At 44.1% G+C, this 23,175-nt stretch overlaps 1 protein-coding gene across 29 annotated transcripts in view, besides 1 other annotated feature; it reads left to right on the top strand.

Annotated features, from left to right (window-relative positions):
* The window catches only part of BCAR3 (BCAR3 adaptor protein, NSP family member), a 286,411-nt gene that overhangs the window by 155,255 nt on the left and 107,981 nt on the right, over positions 1-23,175 (top strand). For 12 of the 29 annotated variants that reach the window (NR_178024.1, NR_178023.1, NM_001412059.1 and 9 more), the window contains exons 1-2: positions 11,060-11,299; positions 17,956-18,283. Coding sequence is in view for 23 of the 29 variants with exons in the window: in NM_001412057.1 (NP_001398986.1) it covers positions 17,967-18,283 (317 nt within the window). In the remaining 6 variants the exon portion in view is untranslated. Of the gene's footprint in view, positions 1-11,059; positions 11,373-11,526; positions 11,791-12,042; positions 12,099-12,647; positions 12,694-17,955; positions 18,284-23,175 lie in introns of those variants that run through there. The other 17 variants (NM_001261408.2, NM_001412054.1, NM_001412048.1 and 14 more) reach the window with 7 other exon arrangements.
* Positions 11,038-11,317: a silencer, noted in NCBI's record as "silent region_1084". NCBI's record gives its function as "represses an Ori minimal core promoter by ATAC-STARR-seq in GM12878 lymphoblastoid cells {active_cell/tissue: GM12878}" and the evidence as "EXISTENCE:reporter gene assay evidence [ECO:0000049][PMID:35858748]".

Genomic DNA, 23,175 nt, shown 5'->3' with positions numbered 1-23,175 from the left:
ACTCTGTTCAAAAGTCCAAATCTCAAATATCTATGGAATGCCTAGCAAGTGCCAGGCACTGGGCTAAGTTTACCTAACCCAGCTTGCTTGCTTCTCTTAAGATTCACTGTGCCATTCCACACCACGCTCAAGCAATCAACCCCAAACTCTCCCACTCACTCTGAGGAACAAGGGTTCACACTGGGAGATGAAGTGGGCAGTGGAGTCAGGGAGGCCAGTTTAGGGAGCTCCACATCCCAGCTCTGTGAACTTGGCTGGTTACTCTGCCTTTTTGTGCTTTCATTTTCTCGTCTATAAAAAGGGCTTAATAACCCCCACCTCTCTAGGTTGCTGAAAGGATTAACTCAGATGATGCACACAAAGTTCTTAGCCCTGGGCTGGTAAGCATAGCTTTTATGATTCATATTTAGTTTGTGTTTCCCCCATCAGAACCTTTGGTGCTCTCTCCCTCTTTGCAGACACCTAGGCCAATTCTTGTGTGTCTCCTTATGCTTGACTGTGTTACTATCTGGAAATTATTCTTACCATTTGGAAACCTCAGTACTGTCGACAGCACCATTAAAAGCAGTTCCAAATGGTTACCACACAAGAGGAGGCAAAAGCAGTGCCCCACAGCAGCTGTGTGTGCACTGGGGAGGGGGGTTCCTGTGAGGAAGGAACCAGAGAGGAAAGGGCCAAACTGACAGCCTCTTGCAGCCCTCCAGCTTGCTGTGCCAGCTGCTCTTGCACTGGATGCCGAGCTGTGCGGCGAGCACTTCATTCCTAATGATGCAGTGTCAGTTATAAATCACTTATTTAAAAATCAAACTGGCCAACCCTAGATTGTCTTTATCATAGCACCACTTTCACTCACTTGCATTCCAAAGGAATTTTAGAAACATTATTTAACTTTTCATCATGGCATTTTTCAACCATATGCAAAAGTAGAGAGAATAGTGTAACCAAGTCCAGCTTTAAGAGTTGTCCACATTTTAGCAGCAAAAGGTCTCTTGAGTGAAAGAGAATGGTGTGGGATCGTACACCCCTGCCACTCACGTGGGAGTGAATTGTACATATTCATGTCTTATTAGAAAAAAGGCTGAGAACTCTTGGTCTTTCCTGTCCATTTCCATTTGCATTTTTTTTTTCCTGGAAAATGGGATAATGACCCTTACTTTGCAGGGATTGACTGAGCCTGAAAAATGGGCTGCTGGTCAGAGCCTCACAGATGCACATTCCTTCCTGGGCTCTGCCTGCCCCTTCTGCTCCTGGGTGGAAAATGAGGAAGGAACAGGCACAAGCAGGAGGCTGCTGAGCTGGGAGCAAGGACCAAGGCTCTAATCTGGCCCCTCCCACCACCCACTGGCAACCACCTGCCTGCCAAGGCCGCCTGTCTCTTGCAGGGTGGATTGTGTCCTGCTTTGTAGAATGATAACTCCTGTAAAAATAAGCACCTTAAACAGCCGAGAGAAAGGGACAGTAATCTGACCCCAGGCTGTGTGTACCCCACAGGGAAGGGGTGTGTCTGTCATACTTGCCCCTGCTTCGATTTAGCTCTGAAGTGCAGGGGAGACCATTTTTCCCACTCAGCAACAGCAGCCTGTGAAGTAATGGGAGGCTGTTCCCCAGTGGGACCATTACCACTATCATTTCTATAATGCTTTCCTTCTGAGAGGCTGAAGTCACCACTTCCCAACCCTGATAGCCCCACACTGGCTCAGGCAGTGGGTGTTGTGGAAAGAGGATGGGATGTGGAATTAGAATGTCTCACCTTCAGTCCTGGCTCTGCTATGTAATTTGCTCAGTGGCCTTGGGCAATCCCTGAGGCTCCATATTCTCCTCCTGAGTATAGTGATATTTTACCCCAGAATGACTCTAAAACTCATACACATATTATTCATCTTAATGGTTTAATTGGACTCGGTTTAGGCAAAACTGTGAAACAGAAGTGTTAATTTAGCATTTTCTACTTTTTCAGTCAGATTCCCCCTTTTTCCCAAGTTCCCCCTTTCCACTCACCCTTGAAGCACCCAATAATGTCAGGCAGCCAGTCAAGAAAATGGCCTAGAAAACGAATATACATTAAAGGCCTAGTAGTTTAATCTCGATAGTCAAAATAGTCTACATTTATCAAGTGCTCACTAAGTGCCTGGCACTAAACATATTTTTTGTAATTTTCACAACAGCATCATGAGGTATGTAACTATTATCCTCATCTTACATATGGGGAAACTGATCTAGAATTCAGACAGTTGCTAGGAATTGCACAGCTAACTTGCAAAATCTGGGATTCAAATGCAGATGTGTCTGATTCTAAAAGCAGTGCTATTTGTTTATTTAGTCTTTTTGAGGCACTGAACCCTAGTGATTAAGAGCACAAAGTCTGAACTAGATGGCCTGGGTTCAGAGCTCAGCTCCTTTACATATTGCTATATGACCTGGGCAAGGACCATGTCCTCATCTGTAAAAGGGGAAAAGAACAGTGCCACCTTATAAGATTATTGTCAAAATCAAATGAGTTAATGTATGTAGGGTTCTTAGAACAGTACCAGGCACATAGTAAGCACTGTGTAAATTATAAAACAAAATAAAAGTAATTAGTGATAATCAGAAAAAAGTCAGTTTAGAATAACATGAAAGAAAAGGAGCATCCCTTTGTGCTCACCAGTCAGCTTCACTTCTCGGTTTGATGGGAGGAAATTCTTCAAGACATTTGTACATAATCCCACACAAATGCACACAATTACAGAAGTCTGTTATTTTCACATGAAAAGGGCAACTTGTATTTTTCACCTAACGTTTCACAGCTGCCTATCGGTACCTATGGAATTACCTCATTCTTATCAGCTGCAGAGTGCATGCCAGGTATAGATGTGCTATAATTAAATAATTCCTCTACAGATTATCTGTAAATGATGCTGCCATGAGCATTTTAGGATGTTTATCTTAGTATGTACAGGAAAGTGAACCCCTGGAAGGCTGACTTTGCTCTCAGAGACTGAGTTGGTACATCCAAGCAAGTCAGGTTTTTCTGTCAGTCTGGCTCCTTCTGTATAGGGGAGTTGGTGAAGCATAAATGCTTTCTGTTCCCTGCATTTCCCTCAACCATCTGCATTCCTCCTGCGCTAGAACAAGGCAGCACAGCTCATCATCACCACCCACCCCCAACCCCAGGGTAGCCTGAAGCATCTAAACTGAGCCCTTTCCGGTCATAACTCAAGAAGGCAGTCAGGTGGCCATCGCCACTAGGTTTTACATACATTTGTTTCCTCTCTCTTCATTTCCATAATCAAGCTCCCTGCCCCCCTACAACTCCTCCCTCTTCTTTATTTTTATGGGCATCACCAGCATCAACAGTCTGTCCCCAGCACTTTTTTTTTTTTTTTGAGATGTAGTTTTGCTCTTGTTTGCTAGGCTAGAGTGCAATGGTGCGATCTCGGCTCACTGCTACCTCCGTCTCCCAGGTTCAGGTGATTCTCCTGCCTTAGCCTCCTGAGTAGCTGGGACTACAGACGCGTGCCACCACACCCGGCTAATTTTTATATTTTTTTTAGTATATGTGCTGCCAAAGTGAGCACTAATTTTTGTATTTTTAGTAGAGGCAGATTTCACCATGTTGGCCAGGCTGGTCTCGAACCTCTGACCTCAGGTGATCCACTGGCCTCAACCTCCCAAAGTGCTGGGATTACAGGCATGAGCCACCACGCCCAGCCCCCAGCACTTTTAATCTCTCCCTTCTCTGCGTTCCCACAGCACTGGGAGCTCTGCTGCAGCTCATCCTTCTCTCACTCCAGATCCATGCCATGTTCCCTGCTAGGATGAAAGTCCTGGTAATGTGATCACTTTCATACCTCCCAGGGCTAGTGATGCTTTCCATATGGTAGATGCTCAATGAATTTTTAAAACTTTGTTTATATTTTTAAAATATGTTTTTGAATTTGTTTTTAAGTAACATTTTACATGATAAAAATAATATATGCTGGCCAGGCATGGTGGCTCACACTTGTAATCCCAGCACTTTGGGAGGCCAAGGTGGGCAGATCACCTGAGGTCAGGAGTTTGAGAGCAGCCTGGCCAACGTGGTGAAACCCTGTCTCTACTAAAAATACAAAAAACAAACAAACAAACAAACAAACAAAAACAAACAAAAAAACCTTAGCCAGGTGTGGTGGCACACGCCTGTAATCCCAGCTACTAGGGAGGCTGAGGCAGGAGAGTTGCTTGAACCCAGAAGATGGAGGCTGCAGTGAGCTGTCATGGCTCCACCGCACTCCAGCCTGGCCAACAGAGTGAGACTTTGTCTCAAAAATAAATAAATAAGTAATGTAAAAAAAAACATACATATATATATACACAGACACACACACGCTTACTGTAAGGAAAAACTGGAAAGGAAAGCTGTGTAAATGAGGAAATTAAATCATCTGGAATTCCTATCCAGAGACGTTTTGGTGTATTTCTTTGAATTGTTGAATTAAGAAGATAATTAGTGAAAAAAAAAAGCTAGTAATTAGACTGAGGATGTAAATGGGAAACAGGCTCCAGAGTCCGGTGATAAGAGTAAGTCTTGAAATGGGTGGTTCAAATATAGACAATCAGGTTGAGGTGTACTTTGCATAGAAAATGAGCCTATGTTGTCAAGAAGTTCATCTTTTCTTCACTCTGTCACTATTTATTCAATAGTATTTACTGAGGTTTAGTAAGCCATAGTCCTCAGACAATGATTTCTCTGGCCAACGTGATAGTAAGTATGCAGCTATCACACAGGCCTTTTGGAAGCTGAGTTGACTTCCCTGCCTAGTAGACTGGACACCAAGTTCATGGCTAGCTCTTCAGGGGCAGGCACCTAGAGGGTAAGACTTCTGAAAATATTGCAGAATTTTGCCTTTCTGGTCCATATCAGTGTTGCCAGCTCTTTGTATCAGTAGTTATGATATATTAACTTCAGGGAATTCTCTATCTTTCTTTCTGCAGTTGTTCAAGTTCAGCTTTTCTGATTGATCTTCCTTGGTGATAGCTTAAGCACTTGTTATTCCTTACCTGTTACTGTTAGGGCTTGGCAAAGCAAGAACTTTAGGGATTGTTCTTTGTTAAAGTGCATTTCATCTAATGCCTACCCCAGCTGCCTGTTAATTAGTGCTGTTACGGGATGGGACTCAACCAATTACTTTGTGGCAGGAAGGGATCAACTCCAGGTTGAGTGCTCCCTGACAAAGGCTTTTGTGCTGCTCAGAAGTCATTGTTATGTTGTCTGTTCATGTGTCTCTTGGGCAAAGGAACCCAGGGTTGCAATATTTAAAAATTTAAGTGTGGCTGGGTGTGATGGCTCACGCCTGTAATCTCAGCACTTTGGGAGGCTGGGGTGGGTGGATCATTTGAGGTCAGGAGTTCAAGACCAGCCTGGCCAACATGGCGAAATCCCGTCTCTACAAAAATACAAAAATTAGCCTGGCATTGTGGCGCACACCTGTAGTCCCAGCTACTTGGGAGGCTAAGGCGGGAGAATCGTTTGAACCCAAGAGACGGAGTTTGCAGTTAGCTGAGATCATGCTACTGCACTCCAGCCTGGGTGACAGAGCGAGACTCCATCTCAAAAAGAAATATATAAATAAAAATAAAAATAAAATAAATGTTTAGATGAAGCCTGGTTGTGGACTTGAAGAAGTTTGAATTCTAAAATTGTTTATAGCATGACCAACATCCAGGGGATTATATTTATTTAGCCTATGGGGAGATTTATGATGTAATATAAAGGTGAAAAGCCAAAGGAGTTCATTCATTCAATAAGTACTGAGTGCCAGGCCCCAAACTAAGAACAAAACAAAGGCAAAACCAGATATAGATCTTAGAGTCTATAGAGCAACAGGTATTCAACAGCAATAACGGAAATGAATAATTACTGGCTGTGACAAATTCCAGGAAGGAGAGGGTGCTGTAAGGCACATTTAACTGGGGAACCTGACCTATGCTGGGTGTCAGGGAAGGTTTCCTAGGGAATAGAACATCTGGTTATTTAGTTTGTGGTACCTGAGTCTTCTCACCAGTAAAATAGGGATACTACCCTCTTTGACTCACAAAGACACTATAGCAAGAGTGGTCATGGACAAGAATGAGCTTTGAAAAATGCTCAGCGTTTCTAAAACTGAGTTTGTCCCTCCAGCCAAAGGGAGCTGTTCTCCAGCTTTGACATCTGTTGCCAAGCCAGGCAGTTACTCAGGCACTCTGACTGAAGACCTTTGATAATTCTCCTCCACTCTGCCAAGCAGCAGGGGTCAGACAGACCTGGGGTTAGCTTTGGTTCTGCCATTTAAATCTCATTTGAACTTGAGTAAGTTTCTTAATTGGTAAAGTCACTTTTCTCATTTGTGAAATGGGGCAAGTATCGATTAATGGCTTAAAGCTTGTAAAGCACTTAGCATAGTAGTTGGCATGTAGTTACTTCTAAACCAAGTACAGCTAATGTTATCGTAATTGTTATCATTGCTAATTATTAACTTTTTTTTTGTAATGGGGCTCACTGTATTGCCCAGGCTGGAGTGCAGTGGCTATGCACAGGCACAATCATAGCATACTATAGCCTCAAGTTCCTGGCTGAAGTGATCCTCTACCTCAGCCTCCCGAGTAGCTGGTACTACAGGCATGCACCACAGTGCCTGGAGCTAATTAATAACTCTTGTCAATTATTTCTTTGTAATAACTTTGGCCTTTTACCTCTATTCCCACCAGCCTAGAGAAAGCCCTTGTCATTTGGCAAGAAGTGATTCCATAGCCTTCTGATCAGTGCCCCCAACTTGTCTCTCACTTCTCTAATTCATTCTACTTGCTTCCTAAAATAACAGTATTTTGCATATGTCACCCCTTTTAATATTATCATTGAAAAATATGTGAAGCTCATAGCACAAAGAGCTAAACTTCCTAATGTGGAAAGAGGTCCTAGATAATTGGTAAGAAAAAGACCTACAAATGGGTAGAAAAACAGGAATACAAATTCCAAAAAAGAAAAAAAAGTCTACTAAACATGAAAATATAAGCATCCTCACTTATTATAAAAGAAATGTAAATTAAAATTACACTGAAATTCATATTTTACTTATCAAGTTGACAAAAATTGAAGGGGTTATTAATAACACCTTCTGGCCAAGCTGTGGGGAAATAGGCATTTTCTTACATTGCTGGGGAGTAGAAATTGGTACAATCCTTATAGAAGGCAATTTGGCATTATTTATCAAAATTACAAATGCATATACCCTTGGACTCAGCAATTTTACCTCTGGAAATTTATTTTACAGAATACTTGCACATTTTATTTATTGCCATATGGTTTGTAATAAGAAAGGATTGGAAACAAGCTAAATGTTTGGTAAATTATGGTTCATCTCTTCAAAGAAATGCTATGCAAAAAAGAATGAAGAGAGTCCCTCTGTACTAATATATGAAAATCTCCAAGATATATTAAGTGGTTTTTAAAAAGCAAAGTGTAGAACAATGGGTATAGTATGTTACTTTTTGTGTAGGGAGGGGGTAATAACACTCGCACACACACATACACACACACACACACACATAGAAACTCTGGTAGGCACATACAATATTAATAGCAGTACTAATAGCAGTACTTATTTCTAGTGGGAGGGGGTCTGGGCAGATGGGAGACAGAGGTAAGAGGGGAACTTTTCACAGGATACCTTATTATATAGTTTTAACTTGTGAACCATACTGCAATGGTTCTGTGAATACTACCTAGTCAAAAAATTATATTTAAATTACTCCCACTATTAAACCATTAACATATATTGAGCATCTACCATGTGCCAGGCCCAGGGGATACAAATGTGAATGTGGTTGTGGTTTGATGGAAAGATCCACTGAACTTAAAATACCTGATTCAGGTCGGGCACAGTGGCTCACGCCTATAATCCCAGCACTTTGGGAGGCTGAGGCAGGCAGATCACTTGATGTCAGGAGTTCAAGACCAGCTGGGCCAACATGGAGAACCCCTGTTTCTACTCAAAATACAAAAATTAGCTGGGCATGCTGGCACGTGCATGTAATCCCAGCTACTTGGGAGGCTGAGGCAGGAGGATTGCTTGAACCCAGGAGGCGGAGGTTGCAGTGAGCTGAGATCACACCATTGCACTCCAGCCTGGGCAAAGAAGCGAGACTGTCTCAAAAACAAAAAACAAAAAACAAAAAACACCTGATTCAAATTCAGATTCTGCTTCTCACTAGCTATGCATCTTGGCACACAGTAGGCATACGACAAGTATTTATTGAATGAATTTATGGTTGAAGTTACTTAACCTTCCTGAGTCTGTTTCCTCCCATGTAAGATGAGGATAGAGATGCCTCCTATCTCTCAGGGATATTGTGAAGACAAATGATAGAATGTGTCATCAATTCTAGTGATAATTAATGAAACCTGCTATGTGCTAGGCAGTTTCACATCCATTATTTCCTTGACTTCTCATGGAAACCTGTGAGGTGGGCATATATTCACTTACTCATGAGGAAATGGAGGGACTGAGGGGAAGAATGGCTTGCCCAAGGTTTTCTTCTGGTCTTTCTTTATTGCTACCTCCCCCATGCTCTGCACTAGAAACTTTGTAGGTTATGCAGTAGATACTGTATAGTAGGTACTCAGGGAACTTTGAAAATCAAGAAAAACTAATGTTTTTCCACTGTTCTCAGTGACACCTCAGAGCAACAGAAAATCAGTAAATGAATTTCGGATACTTCGATTTAGAAATATACTAGCTGGTCTGTTTGACATTCACTGCACTAAACACTTGGGGGAAAATACAACAAAAATCAAATATTCATGCTTCTAATGAAGTAGGAAGGATAAAGACTAACCCACAAAAACACTCATAAGCGAAAGGTACTCATTCTAAAGGATGCTGCACTTAGAATCTTGTAGACTTACCAACAACTGTTTCTAAGAGGGATTAAAATGGTACACCCAATACAGTACAATTAAAAAAAATTTCTTTGGAGTAAAACATACAAGCAGAGTCATGCACAAATCAATTGATTTTTATAAACTGAAGGACAGGTGATTTTTATAAAATGACATGGATTAATAAATAGAATATTATCAGCATGCAGAAGTCACCTCTGGGATCCCTTTCTGTCATAATCCACAGCTCAATATAACCACTGTCTTCACTTTTAACATCACAGATATGCTTTGACTATTTTTGAAGTTTATGTAAATGGAATCATATAGTATGTACCCATTTGCGGCCAGCTTCTTTCACTCAATATCCTATTTGTAAGATTCACTCATCTTGTTGAGTGTAAATGAGTTCATGCATTCTTATTACTATGTTGTATGTTACACAGTTTATCTCTCTTCTGCTGATGGACATTTGGGTTGTTTTCTTTTTGGCCGTCATAAAGAGATACATTATAAACATTTTTCAACATCTTTTGGTGAATATGTGTATACATCTCTGTTGGGTGCACACTTAGGGGTGGAATTGCTGGGTCATAGGATACATGTTAATTTAGCTTTTCTAGATAATGCCAAGCAGGTTTTTAAAGTGGTTGTAAAAAGTTCATTTTGACGAGCAGTATGGTCAGGCCCTTTAATTTTAGTCATTCTGGGTGGTATGAAGTTAGATCACATTGAAATATCAATTTGCATTTTTGGGATGGTTAATAAATTGAGATATTTTCCATATGTTTATTGGCTTTTTTGAGAAATGCCTGTTTGTCCTCTCTTGAGGACAGTTGAAATATTCTGCCTGTTTTTAATTGGATTTTCTGCCTTATTCTGGCTGATCCGTAGGTGTTCTTTATATATCTGTAAACAAACCTTTTTTGGATGTATGTGTTGCAATTATGTTTTCTCACTCTGCGGTTTGCCTTTTCACTCGTGGTGTCTTTTCATGAACAGAAGCTCTTAATTTTAATCTTGTCCAATGATGAGTTTTTTTTCTTTATATTAGTACTACATGTGTTTAAGACATCGTCTTTGTCTACCCCAAGGTAATGAAGATTTTTTTGGACATTTTCTTTGGATCGTGTTATTGGTTTACTTTTTACCTTTAAAATCCATCTGGAGGCCGGGCGCGGTGGCTCACACCTGTAATCCCAGCACTTTGGGAGGCCGAGGTGGGTGGATCACCTGAGGTCAGGAGTTCGAGACCAGCCTGACCAAAATGGTGAACCCGTCTCTACTAAAAATACAAAAATTAGCCGGGCATAGTGGCGTGCGCCTGTAATCCCAGCTACTTGGGAAGCTGAGGCAAGATAATTGCTTGAACCCGGGAGGCGGAGGTTGCAGTGAGCCAAGATCATGCCGTTGCACAACAGCTTGGGCAACAAGACCGAAACTCTGTCTCGAAAAGAAAAATTCCATCTGGAATTGACTGGGGATGGGGGGATTCAGTTGATCCAGCATCATTTACTGGAAAGAGAGAGCTAATCTGACCCCCAATACAGCACAGCAGCACCTGACATAAATCAAGTGACCACATATTGTAAATCTGTTTTTGGACTTTATTCCATTGGTCAGTTTGTCTATCCTTCTACTATTTCTATGACTTTATAATGGATCTTGATATAAGATAGTGTTAAGTCTTTTCCAGTGGGCTCCAATTTTTCACCCCACCAAATCATCTAGTGCTGAAGTGCCACCGCCAACTCGCACTTTGCTTTCAATACGTCCATACGAGTGCAATTGATTTGCCTGTTCCCGTGGATGGTTCATTTGTGGTTACCTGGGGCTTTGTCTCATCAAAGCCCTTCACATTGAAAGCCAGCCAGGTGTCTGCAGACGAGCAAAGCAGATCTGTTGGGTAATTAAATAACGCGGGGAAGGGGAAGGAGTGGATTCGACGAGGCTGTCTCTGGAGAGAGCTTCAGAAAGGAAGTGATCGAGCTATACTTGAGGACTGGCTCCTTGGGGAGATACGAAGAGAGCCAAACTCTAAAATCCGGGCAGAGGAGGGCCTGGCTAGGTCACCGAATGTAAATGTCTCGGGGGGTTCCGCAAGGCAGCGCGAATCGGCTCGCCGGGGTGGGGCCGCGGAGCCGCAAATCACCAGTTGAGGGCCGGAGTGCGCGCCGCCGGCTCAGAGCTGCGCCTGCTGCTGGCCGGGCGGGGGACGGGGCCGGGACCGGAGCCGGAGCTGCGGGGCGCACCGGCTAGACGCGCGCGGGATTCTCGGCGGGCACGCCCCGCGGACCATGAGCGTCCCCAGCTCCGGGAGCAGCCGCGGCGCGGGCGGTGCGAGGCCGGCCGCGCGGCGCCTTTGAGCCCCAGCCGGAGGTCCAGAGATCCTGAGAGCCCGAGCGCCCAGCGCCGCGCCGGGAGGTGAGTCTCCGCCGCGCGCCCAGCGTCCTCGGGGTGCTGTTCCTCCCGGGGCGCCTGGGCCTCCCCCACCCCGGTGAGGACACGCTAGGAAGTTTGTTGGACAAAGTTAGGCTCTGGGGAAAGTAGAGCCGGCGTTTGTTGGTCCCTACCCACCCCCGCCAGCGGATTTGGCGTTGGGGGCGGGGGTGACTGAAGTGGGGCTGGGGCTTGCGCTCTCCAGGCCCTCCGAGCGCGCTGGGACTCCCCGAGACGTGGCCCACGGCGGGGAGCGCTCAGCGATTGGCGGCCAGGCATCTTGCTCGGTGGCACTCGAGCGGCATCTTCCCGGGCGCTGGCCTCGCCCGACCCCCTGCCCGTCGGAGCTGCTCTGCCGGCCACCCCGCCCTGTCCCGCCCGTCCCCTCTTCGCAGAAGCCGGCCGGGGTCGGGCAGATGCGAGGGCCCAGAGCGCTCTGGTGGAAGCCCAAGGCTCCGAGGAGGCGAGTTTCTCCGGTAATCTCTTGGGAAGTTTGCAAAGAAAGCGAAGGAGCCTGCCCTGTAACTGTTGACAACATCTCCCTCCCTCTCTCCCTTTGTTGAGAAAGAATGAATAGTTGGTTGTGTTGCTCCCTCTGCGTCGCGGTGGGGAGAGGCGAGGGAAGGCAAAGGAAGGGAGGGACGGTGGGAAGGAGGTTCCGATAGATCGTACAGCCCAACTGTCCTTACCCACTTAGGCCGCTGAGGGCGCCGCCGCTTTAAAACGGTGTAATCAGGTGTAGACACTCGTCGAGGAGGAGGTTGAGCGGACTCCGAAGCATCTGGCAAGGCGGCGTGTTCCGTGGGGCGGCGGGTCGGGTCATGGTTGGGGTTAACTCGCTTGAAGCAAGGTGCAAAGGAGAAAAACCATTTTCCTAACCTCATATCTGTTTTCGCTTAAAGCTGTTAGCTGAGATGGAAAGTAGAGCCGTGCATTCAGATTGTTTTAAACCTTGACTTTATCTCCCAAGGCTACACAGACCTCCCCAAGGAAAGTACGCTGGCCGAGGGAAGGTCATTTTGGGAGCTGATAGCCTCCCTTGTGTTGCCTGGGACTGAGTTGAGATCCTGGAGGCTGGGAGAGGCCTCAGTGCTGGGGGTGGGGCCCAGCTCAACACAGGTCCAAGTGGGAAGGGGCTACCCGGGTAACAATGGGAAGCCCACAGGCAAAGCGCTTGTCTGCGGGCGTGCCAGGGGGTATTGAGGATAACGTAAAGACCTTGCCAAGCCAGGGGATCCCACACCACTCCAACTCCAACTTTCTCTAAAGTGCTGCTGAGAAGGCTGGCATTTCCAGGATGACTAACCAAGGTCTAAATCTCCTGTTCATATAGGCAGAACTGCTTGTCAAATGGATGCTAATCTTAAGAACCTTATCGGGTAAATCCTGTACTGTGTTGCTTGAAATACAATCCATGGAGGAATTATTCATACTTGAATCATTTGGCTAGACTTCATAAGTTTACTTCAAAAATAAAGAGATACTCTTAATTCCTAAACCCAAGCAAAACTTCATTTTAAGTGGATAAGCCAATTGAATATGTGTGGTTGTTTCATCTCCTCTCTCCATCTGACTCTCCAGAGAAGTTATAAAACTACAGATCCAAGTTGTAAATTCTCTGTCATGGGGCAGCCGAGACGGTTACATTTCCAGAGTTTAAAATATAATGAAAAGTTCTTAAAGCTCACATCAGATAACCATTATGAGTTAAACTTGAAAATATCCCGTTTCAGAAATAAAAGAGTAAAATCCAAACAAGTGGGCTGCTTATCTCTGCCTCAGCTTGCAAGATCATCAGTTTCTTTGAGACATCATTGTAAAGCAAGTGAGTTGGGCCTCAGTTCACAAACATTTCAAAGCCCAGCGACTGACCAGGCCCAGGAAGGCAGCACATGTGGTAAAGTTTGTCAGCCTCGCTCTTGTTCCTGATGTTCACATGAGTCTCAGATTTTCATATCAAGATGCAGAGTCTTTGACTTTTGTATAATATTTCAAAATCTGGCATTAGACTGAGTCAGGACATTGTGTTTGTTTTCCTGCACAGTAGAGAGAAGTCAGATGGCCAGAGTCTCACCTGGGCTTTTTTCTAAAGACTGCATGTAGGCTCACTTGGTTTGCCTGTACGTGTGTCTGTGTCTGTGTCCGTGTCCATGTCCTACTTGGCTTGGTGTCTTTGCATCTATTGTTCTAGGTTAAAACGTTTCCCTCCCCATCCTTCCCAGTTGCAGTCTTCATTTGTGAACTCTCAGAGTTACTTCCTTTGTGAACCCTCAGTATAACAGAGATACAGTGACTCTTATCTGACAAGATAGATAAGAGCAGCCCCTGTCCTGCTTAGAGGGGACCTGCTATTTACTAAGTGTTTGCAGTATTTCAAGAACTTTGTATACACAATCACTTTTAATCTTTACAACAATCTTATGAAATAGCTGTTAAGTCATTTTTTAAAATGAGAAACCGTCAGGTTGAGTAACTTGTCCCAGGCCATACAGCTGGTAAGTCAGTGGCAGAGTAGAGATTTGAACCTGTAGATATCTGCCTCCAAAGCCTAGGTTCTGAGTCATACCATTTTATTTTTAAAAAATCAAATGGTACATAAGAAGTATATAATGACTAGGGACATTGAGACAGAAATATTTCCAAGTGGAGAAAACATGGGAGCCAGAGGCTGGAGACTTGGGTTTAGTCTCCATCAGCTGTCATTCCAACCGCTTGTTCCTATGGCAAGACCTTTGCATTTGCCAGATCCCTTGCCTGGAACCCCCTTCAGACCTTTTTTTGACTGGCTCCTTCCCTTGCCTTTTTTCAGGTCTCATGTCATTGTTACCTTTTCAGAGAGGCCTTCCCAGTCCACCCTAATGTAAAGTAGCTCTCCACCCGCAACAGTCATCCTTTGTCAGTTCATCCTGTTTATATTCCTTAGCGTGCTTACAACTTGGATGTTAACTCATTTTCTTGTTTGTATAGGTTGGATTCCTCCATGAGAGCAGGAGCTTGTCTAATTTATTATATCCTTAGCCTTGGTACACCATAAGCCCTCAGAGAATATATATCAAATGAACATTTATTTCCCTTATCTAGAAAAATGGACTGGGAATTACCAGTACTTATGGTCATAATTTATTGTCTGCTTCCTCCAGAGTATTATTAGCTTCATGAGGACAGACCACTTCTGTCTTGTTTAATGCTGTCCCCAACACCTAGCATAGTGCCAGCCATAAAGGAGACCCTCCATGAATGTATGCATTGAAGAATCAATGTTTCTATTGATTGAATGATACTCCTTCATCATCATTGAATTCTGTTTTGCAGGTAAACAATTATGACTCAATTGCTGTGTACCAAAAAGACTCACTAATCCAGTGGTTCTCAATCCTGGCTTCACATTGGTCAATACTGGAGACTGATGCTAATGTCCCGCCCACAGAGATTCTCATTTTATTGTTCTGGGCTGAGGCTTGGGCATCAGGATTTTAAAAGCTTCCCAGAGGATTCTTATGTGTAGCCAGGTTGAGAACCAATGGTTTACGTTTTTATAGTAGAACTCATTCCTTGCTTTGGTCCTTATAGGCTTGAAGAAGCCATGGTAAGAGAGAGCAGGGGTATAATTCATGGGTATTGTATGATTCCTGACAGTTTAAGAGGTACTTCACAGCTGTTATCACATCTGATAATAACAAGTTAAGGGATCTACTCTCTGGTTTAAATATTGCCTTTATGTTGATGATTCCTAAAAATCTCCATCTGCCCTCACTTCTAATTGTGCATACCAGTATCTAACCTCCTCTTAGACCAAATTGTTTGCTGATACCTCACATGCAGCAGCTCCAGTGCTGTGCTTGGTTCCTGCAGGGGTGGGTCCCCTTCTGAAACTAGTTGGCATGTTACAGCATCGCACCACCTTCTGTGGCTGTAGGCTCCTTCCTTCCAGCCAGATGCCTCAAGCTCTGATGTCTCATCACTCTCTCCTTTCTCTCCCTTTACCCAGCTGCTGCCCCAGGTCAGAATTCTTCATTGTTCCTCCATGGGTTTCACCATCAGCCTCAGTAACCTCCCTGCCTCCTTTTTCTCTCCCCTCCAGAACAACCAGAGTCACCTACTTGGGTACAGACTGGGTTCGGTCCTTCCCTTCCAGATCTTCCCTAGCACTTCCAGTCAAGTCCAGACACCTTGGCAGGGCCTTCAAGACTCCATGGTCTGATGCTAACCTAAGTTGCTTCTGGGAAATGCTTCTCGGCTTCACTCGAGCCACAGCACACAACTGGGAATGTCCTGAGCCTGTGGGGTCACTTCCATGCCTTTATGCATCTGCCATCCTCCCGGGAGGCTTTTCCCCACATGTTAACTTTTCAAAATGCTTTGTCTCTATTGTTGCCCTCTCTGAGCCTTCTCAAGTCCTTTTGTCAAAATTAATTGTTCCTTTCAGCATAAGGGCCTCTATGAATTATTCTCTCTTAGAGTTCATAGTCAGGTATTGGGCCTTAGGCATCTTTGTTTCTCCAGGTGTCTTGTATGAAATAGGCACTTAAATGTTTGTTGAATTGAAGGTAAGAAGGGGAAGTATTAACATCCCTTGTTATTGGAGAATAAATTGAGGTGTTGGTAACTTGAAGGACATTTTAGAACACTTTAGGACAATCTTGAAGTCTAAGTAGATCTTGGGGAAGCAGAGAGGAAACAGGCTGCCAAAGGCAGTGGTGCTAGGGTGACTTTTGCCCATCATGCTATTGGAAATAGATTTGATCAACAGTGTGGCCCTATGCACATGAAGAAGTTCTGTAGGGTGCTGCAGGCCTCCCCACGAGGTTCTTTGAAATGACCCAGTCCTGTCTGTGAGAAGTCACAACTGTGGTGTGTATGTGTGTGTGTAGGGTGGAAGAATCCTAGTCGGTTTACGTCACTTGTGTTCAGGCGGTGGGGCTAGGGAGTTTGGTTTCCTTTCTAATAAGGATGGTTAGCATTGAGCAAGTGCTGACAGTGTGCCAGGTACTGGCCAGAGCTGGGAGGGGCTGCACAGGACTCTGTCCTATTGTTCTGCACCCACTGTGAGCAGACCTTCTGTGTGGTCCCAGTTGGACGTGGAGCAGGCAGCCCCCAGAATTACTGGATTTGACAATGAACCGAGGACAGAGTTAAGATTGTACACCTTCAGTAAAGATGCTCCTTCCATCTCACCCCCAGGACTTCTGTACTTTCCCCTATCTCATGTGGAAGCAGTGGAACGTGTGTGTTTTGTTGTACACACACATACAAACACATGCGTTTTCTTTACACACTCTAATGTCATTGTCTCGGCTCCACTTCTATCAGCTTGTGGAGGGTTGCATTCTTCTTGGTTGTCTTCAAACCACGTCCCAAGTCCGCAGTTCCTTTGTAGAACTGACTCTGCAGTAGTGCTATTAAGTGAGGATTTTCATGCAAAGCTCTTCCCTGAGTAATGCAGTGGAAAGGGTGGTTTGTGAGGAAAGAGGGCTGCTGGGTTGGAGAACAGACTAAGGGGCAGCTCTCCTCACCAGCCCGTGGGAAGGGCTGTATGTTGGGCTTGGCCACCCTGCAGTGCTGTCCAGACCAGAGTCTGATATCATGACTAGTATAAGACAGATCCTGGAGCCTCTATCTCCAGGGGCCAGCCTTTTTTTTTTTTTTTTTTTTTTTTTGTCTCCTATTTCTTTTCCTCTGTGTGTTGGCCTTAAAAATGTATTATATAATTTGTCTTAGGCCAAAACCATAGTTTGCTTTGGAGCTGGAGGCACTGACTCTGCTCAGGGTAAATGCTTCTACTCATGGTCCTAGATAGGAGAGAGTGTCGGGGCTACTTGCTGCACACAGCCTGACGTGCCATTCTCCTTTCCCTTTCCATGCTTCCTTTGCCCCCCACCATTTTTTTTCTTTTCTTCTTCCCTTCTCCTGTCTCTTCTTCCCCGACTGTACAGGCACCCATGGGCATTACCTAACCCTGCTGGTGGCAGGCAGATCCTGACCCCTCTGTGGGGGCCATGTACATGCAGCCCCCACCCCAGTGGCTTTCCTCTGCAGCTGAGCCTGCTGGTGTATGGCAGAATGGCCCACCTCCTGACCCTGACCCTAGCCCGTGTTCACTAATTAGAGTGCATTGATTTATTTATAAACACTGGGTCTTTGCCAGAAAAATTCTGTCCCATCCTGTGTAGCACAACTGAGGACTGGTCTGGCACTGAAGACAATTCTAGCAGCTAAAGAATTTCAATAATCCCTGCCTGTTCTTATCATTTACAGGGCAGTGAAAATAATGTGAGCTAATTATCTAACAGTTTATAATATTTTCTTTCGTACATTTATTACTGCAACTATGAGTCCTCTCTTAATCATCTTTTTTTGCTGGTTGTGCATGGCTTATATGCCTCTAACAACTCTGAAAGTGTTTGCCCTCTTGGTTTTGCTGCCAACCCAGGACAATTCCTATGTAGGATCATTTCAGGAGGAAGATAAGTAAACTTCCCATTCTTATTAGACTCCACTAGTGATGCCATTAAATGTTGATCTGTTAATGGTCTGTGAATATTTCATTTTATGTGGCATATTTCCATTTCCTTTTGTAAGTAGGAAGTCAGTTCTTGTGACTCTCATAGATTTATACCTTCACTCTTTTCTTTCCCCCTTAGAGTTGAGAATTATGGCTGCAGGAAAATTTGCAAGCCTTCCCAGAAACATGCCGGTGAATCACCAGTTCCCCCTGGCCTCATCCATGGACCTTCTGAGCAGCAGGTCCCCTCTCGCTGAGCATCGCCCAGATGCCTATCAAGATGTGTCTATACATGGCACCCTTCCACGGAAGAAAAAAGGTCCTCCTCCCATAAGGTCCTGTGATGACTTCAGTCACATGGGCACCCTCCCCCACTCCAAATCCCCACGGCAGAACTCGCCTGTGACCCAGGATGGCATCCAGGAGAGCCCATGGCAGGACCGGCACGGCGAAACCTTCACCTTCAGGTAACTTCTGTAATTTCACTAGTGAAGATGATTTGTCTTAAACAGCTTTTTAAAAGGTTTTTATGGCCGGGCGTGGTGGCTCACACCTGTAATCCCAGCACTTTGGGAGGCTGAGATGGGTGGATCATGAGGTTAGGAGTTTGAGACCAGACCAACATGGTGAAACCCTGTCTATACTAAAAATACAAAAATTAGCTGGGCATGGTGGCATGTGCCTGTAATCCCAGCTACTCAGGAGGCTAAGGCAGGAGAATCACTTGAATCCGGGAGGCAGAGGTTGCAGTAAGCCAAGATCGCTCCACTGCACTCCAGCCTGGGCAACAGAGTGAGACTCCGAAGTTTTTATTAGGAAAAACATCAAACATACACAAAGTTGAGCGAATAATTAACTCCCATGCACCTGTCAGCCGGCTCCAACAGTTACCAGCTCAAGGCCAGTCCCGTTTTGTCTGTACTCCCACCTACTTCCCTCCTTTGGTATTATTTTGAAGCAAATCTCAGATTTCATATTATTTCATCTGGAAATATTTTGGTATGTTCCTTTCAAAGATAAGGACTCTTATTTTAAAAACTGTATAACCACAATGTAAAAAAAACTATAACACCTAAATAAAAACCACTTCTTAACATTATGTAACATTTGAGGATATTTTAAAATCCAGCTTCCTCTCTTAAGTCCCTTAAAAGAAAGCCCAAGTATTTTCTTTTTATCATAGCATCAGATTCTGAACTATGTCCATCCACTTCTATAGAGATGCCAGGATGTCTATAAATTAGACCCCATATCTCCTTATATTTAGTTGTCAGCATGCTGAAATAAAATTTTATGTGGATGCACCAGCAGGTCAGCTTCAGAATACTTTAGGACAAGAATTGATTTTTCCCTCTCTGTGACAGAGATCTGGGTAAATGAGCCTTATGGTTGTAAATGCTTTTTCTCTGGGTTTGTAATGGGCCTGGCTGTGATTGGTTTCTGCCTGTTAGAGCTAGTTTGGAAACTGCACTCCTTTTCCTGTTGGGGAAGATCAGCAGCCTGTGATGCTATCTGGTAAAGAATGGGACTGTTTCTTTTGTTATCTCTCTTTTTGTCCAAGCTTGTCGCAAAGCCACTTGGATCCTAGCTCATTTATTTGTTCAATATTTATATATGGAGCACCTATATTAGAGTATGTTGATTTCATAAGCCCCAGGGCTTACCAGGAAAATTCTGCTCAGTCCTGATTATCTTAAATGAAGGGCTGGTCCAGCATTGAAAACATTCTAGCAGCCAAATTATTGAGCAATCTGTTCTTGCCCTTTTATAGGGTGGTGGAAATATGTGGACTAACAGGGTAGCAGTGGAGCATCTGAAGCAATATCTTCCCAGAGTTTACATTCTAGTGAGCGCATTAGGTAGTATATACAAATAAATAAGACAACTGCAGATTATACCAAATGCTATAGAGGAAATGGAGTGATATGCTGGAGATTTATTGGAGGTGGTACGTTTTTGGTAGGATGAACAGGTTTCTGAGATGATATTTAAGCTCATATTTGTATAATGAGGGAAAGCAACCATGGGCCTTCCAGGCTGTTGCAGGCATGGGGAAGTCAAGTGCAGAGAACTGGAGATGGGAGCAAGTTTGGCATGTTTGAAAACCCCAAAAGGAACTGGAATGGCCTGTGGCTGGAGTGTAGCACATTGAGAGGAGAACAGTGTTGGTGTTGGTGCAAAGCTAGGCGAACAAGAGTTCAGAATTATTCTCAGTTCCATAATTGCAGTAGTACAAGAAGAAAATAAGTGGAGGCCCAGATAATCTCCATAGAAACCACTAGAGAGCCCTGAACTGCTTCTGTCACCAGATTAGGACATTCCTTGGGGTATCCTGGGGGTTAGAAGGCCCTGGACCGGCTCCACAAAATCTAGGTGGGTGACCTCCCAGCTCAGAAAGTTGGCAGGCAGCCACTGCTGGAATGGGTGAACATGGAGGTGCATACCTGTGCACAGGATTGTTAACATCGCATAATTGGCACTTAAGGGGCAAGAATGCAGGAGGTGAGCAGCAAAGACAGGTAACTTCTGGCCTGCTAAAGATGAGCACAGATGCCAGGCTGTGTGATACGGAGTCAGAACCAACTGTTAGCTGGCTTATGGTGGACCGCTTTTCATTTATTAACTTAAACTGTCCTGAGCTAGATGTCTACCATGTACTAGACACAGACAGTTTATAGACTTACTCCTTGAAGTTCTGAGGCCCTGGCTAGGTGCCAGCTCTTACAAAGGGAAACTCCACACTAGGGGGGTGGGTGGGGAGGCAGTAGTGATGGAGTCACCCTTCCTATCTTGGGGAAGTTCTTGGTAAACACCCAAGGTCCAAGCTGTCAAGCTGCCAAGAGTGTAAAGCTTTTTGATTTGAAAACTGACTTGGACAGAGGTCATATTTCTGTAAAAGATCTTATCGGAGGGTGGGTGCAGGTCCTGAGTTTGAAGTCCAGGCTGTGGAAGACTTAACAAGCACTCCTGGTTTAGGGTTTGTTTATGATTGAGAGCTATATTAATCCAAATTCACATCTTTTTTTCTTAACTGAAAATATCTTATTGTTAAAGATGAATACAGGAAGTAACAAATGCATATCCCTCAAAAATTGTGCTGAGTGAGAAGGCACATGGTTCTCTGTTAAAGGGTCGTAAAGTCCTACCCTGCTCTGTACTACTATTAATATATTTATTTCTCTAACACATTAAAAAAAAAATCTCCTGAGGTGTTCCCAATTTTGAGGAGTACAAAATACCTTATATTCTTTTTTTGTTAAGTATTCTTAATAAGATTATAAGCTGCCTGAATTCCTTTTTGAAACCAGCAATGATATAAACAAAGTTTTTGCATATGCAGAGCTAGGACCAAGCAGCCTGAATGAGAACCCAAGGCTCTAGAGAAGGAGGTTTTGCCAAAGGTGCCACAGCAAAAATACAGTGAGAGAAATGGAACTTCTCATTCAACTCTTCCAGTTGAAAGGAGCTGCGAAACACCAACCATTCACTCCAGCTCAGTCACCTCTTTTTTTCTTTTCGTAGTGAATTCAGGGGTTAATTTCAGTTGACAGTGACTTGCCCAGATGTCAGCTCTGAAAACATTGCATCTCATCATGTTGGGTATTGGCCTGACGGGTATTGGCATGAAGATAGTGGGCCGCCTTGGATGTCTCCTGCCTCCTCTATCTTGCTCAGAGGGAGGCCCTCCAGATAAGCACCTCTTTGTCTTGTGAAGTACTCTGTTGCAAGTTTGCTCTTTTCCAAAAAAATATGTTTAGCTTGTTAATCATTAAAAAGTCACCTTTATAGGCCGGGCTTGGTGGCTCACGCCTGTAATCCCAGCACTTTGGGCAGCCGAGGTGGACAGATCACGAGGTCAGGAGTTCGAGACCATCCTGGCCAACATGACGAAACCCCATCTCTACTAAAAATACAAAAAAATTAGCTGGGCATATTGGCGTGTGCTTGTAATCCCAGCTACTTAGGAGACTGAGGCAAGAGAATCGCTTGAACCTGGGAGGTGGAGGTTGCAGTGAGCTGAGATCACGCCACTGCACTCTGCCTTGGGTGACAGAGTGAGACTCCATTTCAAAAAATAATAATAATAACCTTTATTATAATTGAACATTCATTGAAAATACATCCTCTCGGAGGCCCAAGACAAAGCAGAGGAAGTCTCCTCTTTGACCTTAAAACTTGCATGATTAAGCTTTCATATCTACATGTGTCATTTCCTCCATTATTAATTCCTCCATTATTAATTATCCCAATAATTATAACATGAATAATTATCCTAATATTATTAATTGTTATCTCCTACATTTTATAGTTTTCAGATAGCTTAAAGGATATGTTCATAAACTACCTTGTTTGAACATTGTAACCCTGTGTGAGAGACATAGCAGATTTCATTATGAACATTGTTATCACCATCATCAGTGTCATCATTTAGAGTTGAGGAAATGGGTTCAGGGATGTTGAGGCACCTAAGATCATACCTTAATGGATAACTGAGCTAGGATTAGAACCTAGAAAGTATTATAGGGCCTTCCCCAGACAGTGTGTTCCATAGCCTCCGAAGAATGTTGGCACCAGCTGTGGGCATCCTCTGAGCTATCTTCTTGCACAGGGGTCAGTACCCTGCTTGTATTCAGTGCTTTGGACACCTACTTTGGGGAGAATGGAGCCTTGCCTGCTGAGAGCCAGGCAGAAGGCAGGCCTGGAAGGGGGAGTTGGTCTTCTCTTTTGGTGACTGTATCTCTTGGCTTTGTTGTTGTCTTGGCTGCCCTTGGATGTACTTGTGGTTTTGAAAGAGGGCCAAAGCCAGAAGCCAGGGAGCTCTTAAACCTGCTGCTTGATGTCACAGAAGGAGCCTTTGTTCTGCAAGCAGACCCAGGTTTCTCTGAGAGGTCTGCAGACAGGATTTCCTCTTGACATTCACATTGTTCAGCTGATATCCCCTTGATTCATTTATCTTCAAGGATGAATTTTTATTATTATTTATTTTTATATTTTTCCATAAGTTATTGGAATACAGGTGGTATTTGGTTACATGAGTGAGTTCTTCAGTGGTGATTTGTGAGATTTTGGTGCACCCATCACCCAAGCAGTATACACTGCACCCTATTTGTAGTCTTTTATCCCTCGCTCCCCTCCCACTCTTCCCTCCAAGTCCCCAAAGTCCATTGTATCATTCTTATGCCTTTGCATCTCATAGCTTAGCTCCTACATATCAGTGAGAACATATGATGTTTGGTTTTCCATTCCTGAGTCACTTCACTTAGAATAATAGTCTCCAATCTCATCCAGGTCACTGCAAATGCTGTTAATTCATTCTCAAGGATGAATTTGTATTCAAATCTGGAATCTTCCTTGGGCT

This window comes from Homo sapiens, chromosome 1 (assembly GCF_000001405.40).
Source record: "Homo sapiens chromosome 1, GRCh38.p14 Primary Assembly".
Taxonomy (NCBI): Eukaryota; Metazoa; Chordata; class Mammalia; order Primates; family Hominidae; genus Homo; species Homo sapiens.
The sequence above is the reverse complement of the archived record's forward strand: the minus strand, read 5'-3'. Positions and strand labels throughout refer to the sequence as shown.